The 13,343-nt window shown below is 45.9% G+C and overlaps 1 protein-coding gene, 1 long non-coding RNA gene and 1 pseudogene across 3 annotated transcripts in view, besides 3 other annotated features; all 3 read left to right on the top strand.

Annotated features, from left to right (window-relative positions):
- The window catches only part of B4GALT4-AS1 (B4GALT4 antisense RNA 1), a 64,181-nt gene extending 61,265 nt beyond the window's left edge, over positions 1-2,916 (top strand). The window contains exon 4 of the long non-coding RNA NR_046574.1: positions 2,891-2,916. This is a non-coding gene — a long non-coding RNA (B4GALT4 antisense RNA 1). The remainder of the gene's footprint in view (positions 1-2,890) is intronic.
- Positions 6,056-6,105: an enhancer, noted in NCBI's record as "active region_20295". NCBI's record gives its function as "activates an Ori minimal core promoter by ATAC-STARR-seq in GM12878 lymphoblastoid cells {active_cell/tissue: GM12878}" and the evidence as "EXISTENCE:reporter gene assay evidence [ECO:0000049][PMID:35858748]".
- ARHGAP31 (Rho GTPase activating protein 31) overlaps positions 6,633-13,343 on the top strand; it is a 126,332-nt gene continuing 119,621 nt past the window's right edge. For both annotated transcript variants that reach the window (NM_020754.4, XM_006713714.4), the window contains exon 1: positions 6,633-7,254. In NM_020754.4, the coding sequence (NP_065805.2) occupies positions 7,155-7,254 (100 nt within the window). In that variant the 5' untranslated portion in view covers positions 6,633-7,154. The remainder of the gene's footprint in view (positions 7,255-13,343) is intronic.
- Positions 6,946-7,065: a silencer, noted in NCBI's record as "silent region_14627". NCBI's record gives its function as "represses an Ori minimal core promoter by ATAC-STARR-seq in GM12878 lymphoblastoid cells {active_cell/tissue: GM12878}" and the evidence as "EXISTENCE:reporter gene assay evidence [ECO:0000049][PMID:35858748]".
- Positions 9,965-10,034: an enhancer, noted in NCBI's record as "active region_20296". NCBI's record gives its function as "activates an Ori minimal core promoter by ATAC-STARR-seq in GM12878 lymphoblastoid cells {active_cell/tissue: GM12878}" and the evidence as "EXISTENCE:reporter gene assay evidence [ECO:0000049][PMID:35858748]".
- RPS26P21 (ribosomal protein S26 pseudogene 21) lies at positions 10,915-11,262 on the top strand (annotated as a pseudogene).

Here is a 13,343-nt window from a genome sequence, read left to right on the forward strand (position 1 = left end):
TTCTTCTTTTTGTTCTCCTGGAATGCCCATAATACAAACATTTGTTCACTTAATAGTGTTCCATAAATCCTATAGGCTTCCTTCACTCTTTTTCATTCTTTTTTCTTTTCTTCCTTCTTTCTTTTTCTTCCTTTTTCTTCTTTCTTTCTTTCCTTCTTTCTTTCTTTTTCTTCTTTCTTTCTCCTTTTCTTTCCTTCTTTCTCCTTTTCTTTCTTTCCTGCATGTATTATTTCAAAAGACATAACTTCAACTTCTAGCCTATTGCTGAAGCTCTCAATTGCATTTTTTATTTCCTTCATTATTGTATAATGATCTTCTTTGTCTCTTTTTATAGCTTTTAACTTGAAGTCCTTTTTGTCTGGTTGCTTGCTTTTGGTTTCTGTTTGCATGGAATATCTTCTTGGTTGATGTTCTTGCATGGAATTCTCCAGCTCTAGAATTTCTGTTTGGTTCTTGTTTATGATATCTATCTCTGCTGAAATTCTCATTCAGATTATGAATTGTTTTCCTGATTTTGCTGAATTGTCCATTTGTATTCTCTTGTATTTTACTGAGTTTCCTTAAGATTATTATTTTGAATTATTTCTCTGGCATTTTGCATATGTCCTTATGATTGGGATCTGTTACTAAACAATTACTATTTTCCTTTAGGAGTAATATGTTTTCTTATTTTCATGGTTGATATGTCCCTACATTGATTTCTACACATCTGGTGGAAAAGTCACCTCTTCTATTTTTTTGGAGAAGGCTTCATAGGGAAAGACTTATTTGTATGAATGGGTCTTGGGTGTCAGTTTGGTGGGGTATGTTGACCTTGACTGTAGGTGGACACAGTCGTATAGTCTCGGTGTAGTTTCTTCAGCTGTAATCCATACTAGTGGCATTTGCAAGTTTCTCAGTGGCCTAGGCTGAGAGAGTTTGTGGTGACTGTGCTATGGTTTTGCCAGGAGTGGGCTTGCTGGGCTGTTTCTCAGGTTGAGGGTACATGTATACAAGTGATGAGTTTGTTGATTTGTGGTCTTGCTCACTAAGGTTGGGGCCACAGGGCTGTTACTCTGGCTGGGAGCATAGACACATGGTTGCTCAGCCAGTTTGAGTGCATGCCTGCCAGGAGTGTTCTTCAGTGTTGGGATGCAGGTATACAGCTGCTTGGCTGAGCTGGAAATATGTCTGCCACGGGTAGCCAGAAGGGGTGATTCTCAGGCCCAGAACATGGATGTAAGGCTGCTCAGCTGGTCTGAGGGTGTGCTTGCCAGGATGGTCCATGGGGCTCTTTTTCAGTCCTGGTACACAGGTGCAGGGCTGCTTGGCCAGCCTGTCTGTAGAGGGCAATCCATGGGGCTGTTTTTCAGGCTTGGTTGGCCTTGGGTGTGTTGCCAAGGAGTGGCCCATAGGAAACTTCTCAGATTTGGGACACAGGCACAAGGCTGCTCAGCTAGCTCAGGGGCGTGCACACTAGAGGCAGCCGATGCAGTTGTTTCTCAGGTCCAGTATGCAAATGTATGGCTACTTGTCTAGTCTGGGGTGTGTCTGCCAGTGGCAGCCCATGGGGCTATTTCTCAGGTCTGAGACATGGACTTTTAGTGACTTGAGTGTTCTGGGGGCATGCTTACCAGGAGTGACCTTCAGGACTATTTCTCAGGCCCTTTTAGGGAGTGCAGGGCCATTGGGCAGGCTGGGGCATGGTAGGGTAGAGGCTCTGGGGACACGGCGGGGCTGTTTCTCAGGTCCTGAGCATGGATGTGTAGCCACTTCACTGGCCTGGGAACATATCAGATGCCTGGAGGCTCAGGGGCCTCTCCCACTCAGGGGAGGATATGTAGTGGTTTGGCTGGCTCACTGGTGGTTTCACCCTGGGCAGGACTGGCAGACAGTTCCTCCTTCTAGAATTGCAGTGACAGGGGTTGGTTTCCCTGCTATGTAGGACCAGAGTCACAGCTGATCCTTGGCCCAATCTCCATACAGCTGGGGTTGTGGCATTCAGCCACCCATATGGGCTTGGTGCAATGAAGATGGAGCCCCAGTGCTAGGGAAGTGCAGTGGCTACTGGCCATCAGAGCAGGGCACACTCCAGAGGTAGCTCTGGTCTCAAGATGGTACCATGCTGCAGCAGCTTGGCTCACAGAGGGTGGGTGTGAATGAGGAGTGCACACCTTGTGCTCTTAATCAGGGCCACGTAGTTGTGTGAATTTCCATCAGCTCTCCCAACTGGGCTCAGGGCTTGTGAGGACTGTGGAATTCTCCTGTTGTAAGGACTGTAGGCTGGGCCTTGTCACTCATTCCTATAATCCTAGCAATGTGGGAAGCTGAGGCAAGCAGATCACCTGAGTCCAAGGGTTTGAGACTAACCTTTGGCAAGATGAGAAAACCCCATCTCTACAAAACATTAGCCAGGCATGGTGGTGCACGCCTATAGTCCTGGCTATGCAGGAGGCTGAGGCGAGAAGATTGCTTGAGCCGGTGAGGCAGAGGTTGCAATGAGCTGAGATCACACCACTGCACTCCAGCCTAGGTGACAGAGTGATACTCTGTCTCCAAAAAAAAAAAAAAAAAAAAAGACTGCAGATGTTTGCAATGGTAATAGGGGCTGATAGAGATCATCTGCTTCCCTTTTCCTTGCAATAGGAAATCCCTCCTGTCTATGGGTTGATCAGATTTGGGCAAAAGAGATGGGGATGCAAAGGCTCTGTGTCTTCATGCTGCCTTCCTGGACTTCCAATCACCACAGGTCCATCGCCACTCCCCTACTGCACTCCAGCACTCTGCTTTTGACACTTCAGTAAAATCTTAGCTGTTTATTTGTTGCCTTGGTCCTTTATTTTCAGGGGGATGAATGCCAGGCATATCTCTAAGTCAGTCATCTTGCTTTTCTACATCTCTTTATTTACAGGAGAGAAGGTTGTTACCATCCTTGGTGATGAAGGAAACAGATAGCTCATGTTGACAGGCATCAGTCCTCAATAAGTGCAGGTAAGAGGGATCATAGGCAGCAACAGAATTCTGAGGTATCTCTGTGTGAGCAAAGAGCTTTTCCAGTAAATTGCACCATGACAGTCTGCTAAAGGCATAATTTATATGATCACCAAATGGCTTCTCAATTAGTCTTTCTGTTAACATTCCTACATTATCTCCATACCAGCTTGTTTCTTAGGTAATGCTCAGCCAAACAGAAATCAGATTTTGGAACCAAATCAGATTTTCTTCTATAGCCCCAGAAAAGACTCTGCTTAGAATAAGCAAGGAGAAAGAAAAAAAAATGGGAAGAGAAAGAGATATGTAGAGGAAGAAAAGAGAAAGAAAAATTGGAAAAAAAAAAAATCTAAAACAAGCACTAGATTCAAGTTTGGCATCTATCGCAGGACATACTCAACATTAAGAGGGGGCAGAAAACAAATGGGGAGGGGGACAGCTTTCCAACTCCCCAAATCAGGTTGTCACCATGTGACTTCATTATCTCGGTTGAAATATTGTGAACTCATCCCACCATTTGGTGTGAATAACTGAGTTATCATCAAGATAACCTTGAAATGCATATCACGTGTACATTTCAGATAAGGTTTGTTTAATCAGCACAGGAATAATAAACACTTTGCTAGGTGCTCAGTATTACCTCCATCTTGAACTCTTACAAACTTGAACCCAACTTAACATGAAGCAGGGATCAAAACGTCCATCAGGCCATTCCAGGTTGAAAATCCTATGATGCCAGAGGCATTCGGGGAAATTCTAAGTAAAGCATAGAAGAATCTCAGGGCTATGTTAAGGTCACTAACTGGCCTCACTGCTTCACCTAGACAGCCCTGTTTTTCAACAAACTACAACTGCCGGGTTTGATGGTGATTATGGGGATTTTGTACATAGCTAAAGTTATACTATGAAGTATTTTTGAAGTATTTTGAGAATTACTTGTAAATTATCGTTTGCATGCTTAACTGATAGCCTTCATTATGAGAAAGACCATATTTAATAAAAATTGTATGTAATTTAAAAATTAATTCAGACTTGAATAAAGTCTGTTGATTGATTAATATTATTGTATCAATATAAACTTTCTAATTTTGATAACTATACTCTCATTGTATAAGATATTAATATTTGGGGAAGTTGGGTGAAAGGTATATGGGAATTCCTTGACTATTTTTTTGTAAATTTTTTTTTTTTTGAGACGGAGTCTCGCTCTGTCACCCAAGCTGGAGTGCAGTGGCACCATCTCGGCTCACTGCAAGCTCCGCCTCCCGGGTTCACACCATTCTCCTGCCTCAGCCTCCCGAGTAGCTGGGACTGCAGGCGCCCGACACCACCATGCCCGGCTAATTTTTTTGTATTTTTAGTAGAGACGGGGTTTCACCGCGTTAGCCATGATGGTCTCGATCTCCTGACCTCGTGATTGCCCGCCTCGGCCTCCGAAAGTGCTGGGATTACAGGCGTGAACCACTGCGCCCGGCCTGTAAATTATTTATAAGCTGGAATTACTTGAAAGTGAAACATTAAAAGGAAGTTTTGAAATATTTAAAAAGGTAATTAACAGGGCTTGGCAATTTCTCCATTATTTGCACTCAGAAAAGGGGCTCTTTCAGCCTCTCTCTTTTGCTGACAAGATGATGAAATCCACGTAAGTCAGATGAAAGAATGAATGCAAAAGTCCTTGCTGAAGTAAACTGCTAAGCAAATGCTAATAGTGATCATTATAGTCCCATATGGAGCTGCTTCTCTATAAATAAAGGGAGGAACAAGCCATTGTACCAAATACCTTATCAGATACTCTCCAAGCAGTTTACAAAATGCTTAGAAATTGCTGCCCTAAAAGTAGGACTGGGGAGCTATTGAAAGGTTTTCAGCAAGGCAGGCAGGCATATAACAACAGCAATCCTTCAAGATGACTCCTCAAGCTTTTAATACATAGGATGGAGGAAGTGGAGGAGATTGGACTCAACAAATCCCACTAGGAGTTACTTTAATAATTGAGGAGTGGATGGTCCTCACTGAGTGGGCCTGGAAAGGAATAAACCAAGCTGAGAGGCATGGTGAAGAGCTCATCGTCTGGGCGGGACTACCTTGCAGGTGGGAGAGGAAGGAGACAAATGAGTCTGTGGTTACTTGAAGACATTTCACCAAGATGACTGGGGCAAATGCTTCTCAGTGTCACTGAGAGATGGAAAATGAAAAACAGGAAAGACAATTCATAGAGGTTGGGCTGCAAACTCAAGTGGCAGCAGAGGCCAGGCAGGTGCAAAAGGGGGAAGACAGGCCGTGGGGTCTGCAAAACTGCAAGAGTCGTCTCTCTAAAGAGGGTGCCTCCAAGGGGCCTGCCACAACTCAGCATCAGCCGTCCTTGCCATATGGGAATGCACTTGTGGTGTAACTAGATCTTCCATTTTTTCAAGAGAAGCCAGAAATTCAGATTTTATGTGAAATCTCTTAACTTTTTAATGCTAGCTACTAATTTTAAAACGTGTTAAAGCATGGTGTCTGCCAGCCAAGTACATCTATGGGCCAGATCTGGCAGGGTGGCTATCAAGTTGTGACCTCTGACATAGAGAAAATGTCAAGGGTCAAAGTTCATAGACTGTTAAGGTTACATAGAGAGACAGTGACTGTAAAGGGATTCAGTACCTAAAATGCTACGGATGCAGCTTTGCCAGCAATCTGAGCTGTATGACATATGCCCCTATCCTTCAAGCCTGTATATGGATTTGAATTTATACAGGAAGTTTCATCTAATCCTCAAATGGTTAAATCACAAGAATTTGAGTGCTTTCTGTGTGCTGAGTACACAGAAGTTAAAGAATTTAAAATCTAACTGGAGAAGAAAAAAACATGCCCTCTTGAAACAACTTGAAACAAATTATGAAAGAACCTGGGAGACTGCTTTCTTCACATTTCATGTGTCAGAGGCATCTTAAATCCTGGTTTGTCCCCCCCAAATCACTTCCATTTAGAAAACTTTGCAGTAGTGTGTGTGTGTGTCTTGAATATGTAACCAGAAATCTGATTTCCTGGGCAGTGGTTACAAAGCTGCAGCCTCTCTTTGCCCAGGGGTATCTTTACCCCAGAGTGGGAGGGGAGTGAGCTGAGGTGGGGGTGCACGAACGCTGCAGAGGAGGTTGGGATGGGAGTGGCCGGCGTGAAGCCACTGCCTGTCAGGTTTCTCCGCTGGAGTCCCCTGTTTGTCTCTGTCATTACTCTTTAAGTATTTGCGTAGCAGACAGGCGGGCACCGAAATAGAAAGTGTCAAAGATACGATGACAATGAGGATAAAACCAGGGCAGAGGGTTCTGAAAGTCCCAACCAGCACGGTCCCCGCAGAATGCCAGCGCACCTCCTCCCGCCACTTCAAAGAGCCGGCTCGGCGGGGCAGGAAGCGGCGGCTGCGGCTGCGGGTCCTGCGAGAAGAGCGCGATTTCCTCCGGGGCTGCCCAGTTATCTCTGGAGTCGCAGAACTGCTCTCGGGAGAACGCGTTCTCTACCCCAACCCCGTGCTCCTCAACCCACCCACCTACTTCCTCTAGCTCCACACACTCACAAGCACCGAGCTGCCAAAAATTTCCACCCACCGCCCCCCTCCCTAGCTAACTTCCTTCCAGCATTTCCTGAGCTGGATGATCCTAGGATTTGTAAGACAGGAAAAAAAGGAAGGCGTGAGGGCGGGCAGCAGCGACAGGATGCTTGTTTTTCGCTCTACCAAAGTCGTCTGAAGGCGAGACAGCGGGCCCAGGGCGCAGGACCCACCGCAGCCCCCTGGGCAGTCTCCTCGCCCCGCGTCCGCGTCGTCTCCGGGGCACTTAGTAAGGGGTGGGGAGAGCTTGCCCTCCCTCTTAAGCTGAGGAGAAACACCCGAAGACACCGCAGGAGCCTGTGAAAGTCCCTAGGACTCCAAGTGAGGAAGTGACACTCCCAGGCGAGCCGGCCCGCGGCTGCCAGTCTGCACGGCCTCGGCACGGCGGCCCCGGAGCGGCGCGGGGTGGATCTCAGGCTCTGCCGGCCCGCGGCCCGCGGGGTCCATGCGCAGGGCCCCCAGCCCAAGTTCTTCCATCTTCCGATGCGGCCCCCCAGAGCCGCGGGGCAGCCGGTGATCTAGCCCGGGAGCCCATCTTACAGCGGTGCCAAGCAGAGGGGCGGCAGAGACGGAGGGGCAGCCTCTTTGGGACTAACTCATGAAGAACAAGGGTGCTAAGCAGAAGCTGAAACGAAAGGGAGCCGCCAGCGCGTTTGGCTGTGACCTGACGGAGTATCTGGAAAGCTCGGGACAGGATGGTAATGTGCCTTGGCCTTTCTCCCCCGCCCCCACCTTCTTTTTGTTTGAGGGAGAGACGGACTCTCTCGAGTTGTGATAGAGTCGGTTCACAAGTTAATGTATTCCAGGCCTGTGCGCTCATTGCACTTTTTTTTCTTTTTTTTTTTTAAAGAACATAAACGATTCTTAAGGTGCACAGCGCTGCTGTCCCGACGCGCAGAGGCTGCTGTGTCAGTCCTTCCGTTTGCCTCACACAAGCTGTTAATGGGTGGTACTGCCGCAAGTTTACCGGGCCACCTCAGGGGATGGGGGTGGAAGCTGCAGAGGTCCCAATCCTAAACTTGGCACGTTGGAAGGGAGGGAGGAGGGGTGGACATGTGGGATGGTGATCAGTGGTCTTGCCTGGGTACAAAATCATGACCGCCTTAGCTGTCCCTCCTGGGCTCTCCAATTTCGTCTGCTCACATCTTTTTTTATTAATGTGTTAGAAGGCAGTTGCGGGTGGGGGGTGGGGGAGGATCCTGGCTGGGGGAGTGGTTGCACAAACATTTCTGAATTTCTGAGCTGATGCCAAATATATAGTACCTCCACCCCCTTTCCACAACCCCCTCCCCGCCCTGCAAGACCTTTTCCCTCCTCTTGGCTTTCAGATTAACATTTGGTGTGTCAGACAAGAAGAGTGTTGTAAAAAGGTCAGAGGGCCTCCATTTTTAAATAGTTTAGGGTAAGTAGAGAAAAGGAAAACTTCTCTGTTTTCAAGGTCAGATGGGGGTAGGGGGGAGTTGGGGATGGGGGAATCCAGCGGAGACAATTTAAACATTTGTTGGGGAAGGGGGAAAGAAAACACCATCTAGATTACAATAACAGCGTTTGAGCTTAGAAGTGTTTAATCATAGGAAAGTTGGAAAATTGAGCATTAAATGACTCCTTTTGTAAGGTTGACTGGTTTTGCACTTACCCTTGACAAAAAGGCCTTGTCTTCAGAAGCTTCAGCGAGAGGAAAATAGCCTACTATATAGGCCATGTGTTTATACATAGATAGATACAACAAAGGGGAAAACTAAGGGCTGTGTAACCGTGCGGAATAATTCTGCCTCCAGGAAAATAATCTCAAAACCTATTTGATTAGTCCATATCGAATATGCATTTCAAAAACAGTGCAATGCTTTTGTTTCACTTCTGTGTTTTGGGAGACTCAGCACCACCTAGTAATTTGCAGTGGTGTGATATTCCTGTGGTATTCTAGAGTTCAGTCTGCTGTGTCATTAGGACAAATAGCTTAGGATTTTAGAGCTTGGAGAACCACAGGTTTCAAAACTGACTCTTTTGAAATTGATGCATAACTTAACACTTCATTGAATCCTCACCAACCATCTGGAGAGGTAGATTTGAGATAAAAATCACTTGGTTTGAGTTTTTTTGAGTGTGAGAAAACTCCAAGTATGCCTCTTAACCACTATCGTCAGAAGTTTACAATGAAAGGTTCCTCTTCACCTATTTTTGCAGGGGCCTTCAAGTTAACCTCCAGGTACACTAGGAATGCTCCTGGGATGCCACCTTTCACCATGCGGGTGTTATTCTGGCCCCTCCCTCAAATCTGTGAGAGTTGCATAGGGGTGCTTGCCAGCCCTGTTCGTTCTTACAAACTAATAGATTATAGGATGAGCCAGAACCCCAGGGTTCTATGAAGATATGTCAAAGGCAGCTTTAGGCAGCTGTTCTTTCACCTGCTTTATATTTTGGGCTTCTGCATATGTTTCATTTAGACAAAAAAAAACAGAGACTACTGCTTAAAAGAATGGCAAACCAGTACCCCGGGTTCCCCACCCTGGGGAGGGGGAAAAGAAGCCCAGAGGGGTAAATTGGCCTGCCTGAGGTTGTACAGCTAATCATGAAGGATCGGAGGGCCCTCCCTGGCCTGTTAGGTTCCTCTGCCCTCCCTGGCTTCTGTGTCTAAGCCAACATTCTCTTCTAATGATATTTTCCCCCTAAATTGAAAGCAGACAGCCCTGCTACAGGATCAGCAAACTTTGAAGACTGAACATACCTGATGAGAGTTCAGCTTTGAAAGGAAACGCAACTGACCCACTTAATGATCCACACACTGTTATTGTGCTACACGGAAATTAGACATGCATAATATACTGCTTATGGAAATAAGAGTAATTAGAATTTATTTTTTCCCTCAGCTAAAACTAGTTGGATGGTTTTTTTCTGTGTATTTGTGATAGTGTAGCATCAATGAACAAAGTCAGTGCTAATGGTTTTCTCTAAAGTAATGTTGCTTCTTTGTGGACTCTCCCAAACATGTATTGATTCATAGACAAGGCCTGGACTCTGCTTCTGGGAGGAAAAGCTGAGCTGGGAACTGGCCCTCTGCCCACCACCTTGGAAGATCAGCCCAGAATGCTGAGGGTGACAAGTCAGTGTGGTAACTGGGAGCCAGGGGGCTGGAGAAGGGCTCCCTGGACTGACATCATGGTTACTGAACTTTGAAGGTCAAAGGTGGTGCAGTAGACCTGCATTGAGAGGAAAGATAGGTTCAGGTTTGGGAGTACAAGGGGAGAAGACCAAAGATTTAGGGAGGCAAAGAGAGCTCCTGTCTTTGGACAGGGAAGGAAAGCCTTGAGTTGGAGTGGAGGACAAAGCGGGGTGATGATGAGCTATGCTCAGGGCATCTGAACATGGGGACGCCACATGCTTGAGTGGGAACTTTGGAGAGACAAAGGCTGAAGACAGAATGAATGTCATATGCTTCTGTAATTTGCTGAGGCTCAGCCCTGCTACTTTCAGCTGGACAAACCTGACAAGGCTGGGTGTGTGGTTTACAAATAGGTGTTCAGCTTAGGGCAGACATTGCTCAGGGCCAGTTGTCAACCTTAATCTTTGGGAAGCTGATGAGAAACAGAAACCCTTTCCTTAGAAACACACACACACACACACACACACACACACACACACCGTGTATGCAATTTCTGCAGGTATCTACATAGATGCCAATTTCAGACCCTGCTGTGATCACCCCTCACTGGCTACACAGGGGGGCCTGATATCCAGGACCAATTTTCCCCCTTCTTTGACCACTTTTCTCTAACTTGGTAAGAAGGGAGCAATGAACACTCTTAGCCAGGTAAGAACACTCAAGAATGGCATGAAGTGGCTCCTGGCAGACTTGCCAAGAGCCTCTTGCACTTCCCCTCCAACACAGTGGCTGCTGCCCCCAACCCCCAGCTCTCCCCTGGGAACCAGCTAACTTTCTCTTCCTGTCTGGAATAAAGGGAGATCATCCCTTCCTTACTGCTGCTGCTGAAAATAGTATAGTTTTCTTTTTCTTTTCTTGACCACTGAATAAGAAGGCCCTTGCTTGCAGCTGTATAACGAAAACCACATCATGTTGCTGTCTGTGGTTGGGAGGTTGTGGGTGAAGCTCTGCGAGGTCATAATGTGCCCATGGTTGTTTCCTACCTCTCCTTCATATGCCAAGTGTTCTGGGTCTTCTATTAGAGCTTGGAGATGGTTGGGGCCAGGAGCCAAGAGACAAGTAAGAGAGAGTTATAGGGAAAATTATCTTCTTCCTCTGGGTTGGCTTTACTTTAATGGCTGAGGATTTTCTTGCTCCTCTGAGCAATCTTTGTTTATTTTACCCACTCCCTGGTAAAAAGTGATACCGAGCTTCCAAGCTGACAAAGAAAAGAAGGGGCGACGATTGTGCCAAAAAGGGCTGCAGCCACGTGCAGCCTGTTCGCTGCACCATCTGCGCCCAATGCCTGCCCAAGGACAAGGCTATTAAGAAGTTCCTCATCCAAAACACAGTAGAGGCCACCGCTGTCAGGGACATTTCTGAAGCAAGCGTCTTCACCGCCTATATACTTCCGAAGTTGTATGTAAAGCTACATTATTGTGTGAGTTGTGCCATTCACAGCAAGGTAGTCAGGAATTGATCTCGTGAAGCCTGCAAGGACCAAACACTCCCACCCTGATTTACATGTGCAGGTGTTGCCCTACGGCCTCCACCAAAGCCCTTGTAAGGAGTTGAGTCCTTAAGGGCTGAAGAAAAACTGTTCTCTCTAGAAAAATAAAATGGAAATTATACTTAAAAAAAAATTAAAAGGTGATATTGCTTGCTCTGGCCCCATGGCTCTCAGTGATGGCAACACATTAGAATTACCTGACAGCTTTAAGAAAAAAATGCTGTTGCTCAGACCCCTCTAAGAACAATGAAATCAGAATCTTTTTTAGAACATGTGGATACTTAGGCAGGTTGTAATCTCTGCTCAGATTACAGACCATTTTCCCCTGGATAAGCGGCCTTAGCCATTCAGAACGCACCTTCTGAATGTTTGGTAAGAACCGTCAGCCTTTTTATTCCTAAAATTTTTTTCCTAGTTCTTACCGCACTTGAAAAATACACATTAACATATATATATGACATATCTTTCATATATAATGTATATATTTGATTTGAGGCATGACAGAGGGAAGGTTCATAACAAATAAGTGCCCATTACAAATATGACTTTAAGCTTGATGAGAGTAAGCCCTGGTATTTCAAAGAACAAGGATAAGGCAACGGGAACTTTTAGATGTGACTCTTCTACATTTCTGAGGCTAAATGATTCTCTTTCTTTATCTATTTAACAAATATTTATTAAGGCATTGTGGTAGATACTGTGGAAAAAAAAGATGGGCTGCAAGCTCAAGAAAGTTACAGTCTAAGGGATATGAACAAACTTTCAGATCAATTAAGCTTTGAAGTTAGCTGTCATAGCTGAAGGAAAAGCTGAAGAAGAAAATTCGCAAGTTTTGATCTCCAATTAAATAGACAAGATACTCAAACATCAACAGCAGCAAAGTCTTAGCAAAGAAGGTAAATATTTTCTGTTCAAGAAAAGATTTAACCTTGAATGGAGAATGAAGGCAGGGGTTTTTTCTTTGGCTTAGCTGCTTCCTTTCCAGCAGCTTGCCTGGCACATCGTGGTCACACCTTCCCTGCCTCACTCTTCATCCTTTGGGTCTCAGCTTTGGAAGATTCTGGAAACCTCCGATCCTCCTGAGGCAGGTGCCCCTGCTGGAGGATCCTATTAGGAGTTTTGGAAACTTACTGCCTGGAATAGAATCCCAACTTTGCTTGTTCCCAGCTGAGTGACCCTGGAGCCAGTTATTTACCCTCCCTGGGTCTCAGTGTCCTCACTCATGAAATGATAATAAGATTGATACGAAAATAAATGAGTTAATATGGGTAAAGCACTTAACAGAGGGCAAGCACATGGTAAACCATAAGTGTAGCTATTATCATGGCACCCTGAGTTTAACCTAGCATCACCACCTACCATCCAGGACTGAGTGGATGAGGCTCCAATTAAATGAGTAAATGATATGATAAGATGGAGCTAATCCATCACCAAAAGGGACAAGAAGCAAGTTGCTTGCCCTACTGAATGAAGAAGCCAATTTATGCAGGGATTTCTCAGAGTCACTGCAGGGTGGATCATCAGTATACACTCAGGAACTAAAGGTCACCCTAAAATTAAAGGGCCCTCAAAAGGCCTAAGACACAGCCACAGCTGGGCATGGTGGCTCACGCCTATAATTCCAGCACTTTGGGAGGCCAAAGTGGGTAGATCACTTGAGGTCAGACGTTCGAGACCAGCCTGACCAACATGGTGAAACCCCGTCTCTACTAAAAATACAAAAAAAAATTAGCTGAGTGGCGGGGTCTGTTATCCCAGCTACTTGGGAGGCTGAGGCAGGAGAATCGCTTGAACCTGGGAGGCGGAGGTTGCAGTGAGCTGAGATCATACCACTGCACTCCAGCCTGGGCGACAGAGCCAGACTGACTCCATCTCAAAAAAAAAAAAAAAGAAAGAAAGAAAGAAAGAAAGAAAGAAAGACACAGCCTCAGCTGAGTCCAGCAGAGCTGAAGCAGAAGTCAGGTCCTGGATGTGGAGCTTGTGGAGCAAGAACAGCAACTTCGTGGGCTTAAGTTTAGAGGGGCATCTCCGCATTTGGGCTCCCAGAGTGAAACAGGAAGAACTGAAAAAGGAGAATTAGGCTTTAAACGTGGAGCAAACTGACTGGCTAACTTGAGGCCGAGCTGTAACTTACTCTG

The sequence above is a fragment of the Homo sapiens genome, chromosome 3 (genome assembly GCF_000001405.40).
Source record: "Homo sapiens chromosome 3, GRCh38.p14 Primary Assembly".
Lineage (NCBI taxonomy): Eukaryota > Metazoa > Chordata > Mammalia > Primates > Hominidae > Homo > Homo sapiens.